Source organism: Homo sapiens, chromosome 5 (genome assembly GCF_000001405.40).
Source record: "Homo sapiens chromosome 5, GRCh38.p14 Primary Assembly".
In the NCBI taxonomy this organism is placed as follows: Eukaryota; Metazoa; Chordata; class Mammalia; order Primates; family Hominidae; genus Homo; species Homo sapiens.
The window spans coordinates 91,989,830-91,990,867 of record NC_000005.10 but is presented as its reverse complement, the minus strand read 5'-3'; positions in this window follow the sequence as shown (position 1 = coordinate 91,990,867).

Sequence of the window (1,038 nt, the reverse complement as noted above, 5' to 3'; positions counted from 1 at the left end):
AAGAAAAATAGTTAAATAATTTTTACATGTATTCTTCTTCGTATAAAACTATTTTTGGATTTTCAGTAGGAGATTTCTGTGTGCCTATACTATATCAAATATTTTTATATTATCACCATAGTCAACTTCTGTGTAAGTTCCCTTGTAGCACCCTCTCTATATATCATTTGAAGGTTTCACTCAAATGTAATGTAAGTTATATTAACAATTGGTCAATCATAATTATTCTTGTGTGCCTTTCCTTCAAGATTTAATGGCATATATTTTTATTTCCTACATAAAAGCTGAACCATACCAGGTAAACTAACATCCTAACAAAATGAAACCTCTACCCTTGAAAGTATAGTCACTTGGCAAAATGTAATTCAACAGTTAATATCTGAATTTTTCTATTAGTAAAGAGCCAGCTTCAAATGAGCTAGAAGCCCGTCCCCCCTAAAAAAAATCTATAGTAATGATAAGTGTGGCTTTAATAGGTCACTTAACAGCATATAGAGAGTTTTCAATCCTCTTCATCTTTTGAGGACAACAAAACTAATTACGTCTCTCTAGCTGTCAAGATTACATACAATCTCCTAAATGCAGTGGATAATACAATTTACATATGCTTGCCCTTCTTCTGCCTTAGTTTTTTTCTTCTAAAACTGTAACATAAAGTAATCGCATGTGCATTACAAAGCTCTCCTGTAAAATGATGGTAAATTGTAGGATTCCTCTTCTCATGAGGACACACTAACCTAAATGTTTGACTCTAATCAGATATTTTCAGAGGATTCTTATATTACTTAACTTTTTCATAATTATCCAAAATATAACCTAAAAGTTTCCTTGAATTCAAACCCTAGTGCTTAGAAATCTAAGGTGAAGGATCTTCATGGAAAAGATTGTGTGATAAAGTAAATGTTCTCCCAGCTCTATTTCCTTGACTCACAAAATATATTTGGAATTAAGGAATAGAGTTATGTTCAATCAAATTTGTAGGTTATAGATAAATCAATATATATGATGTGATTATAATCTCATCTCCAGCTTTTTTAT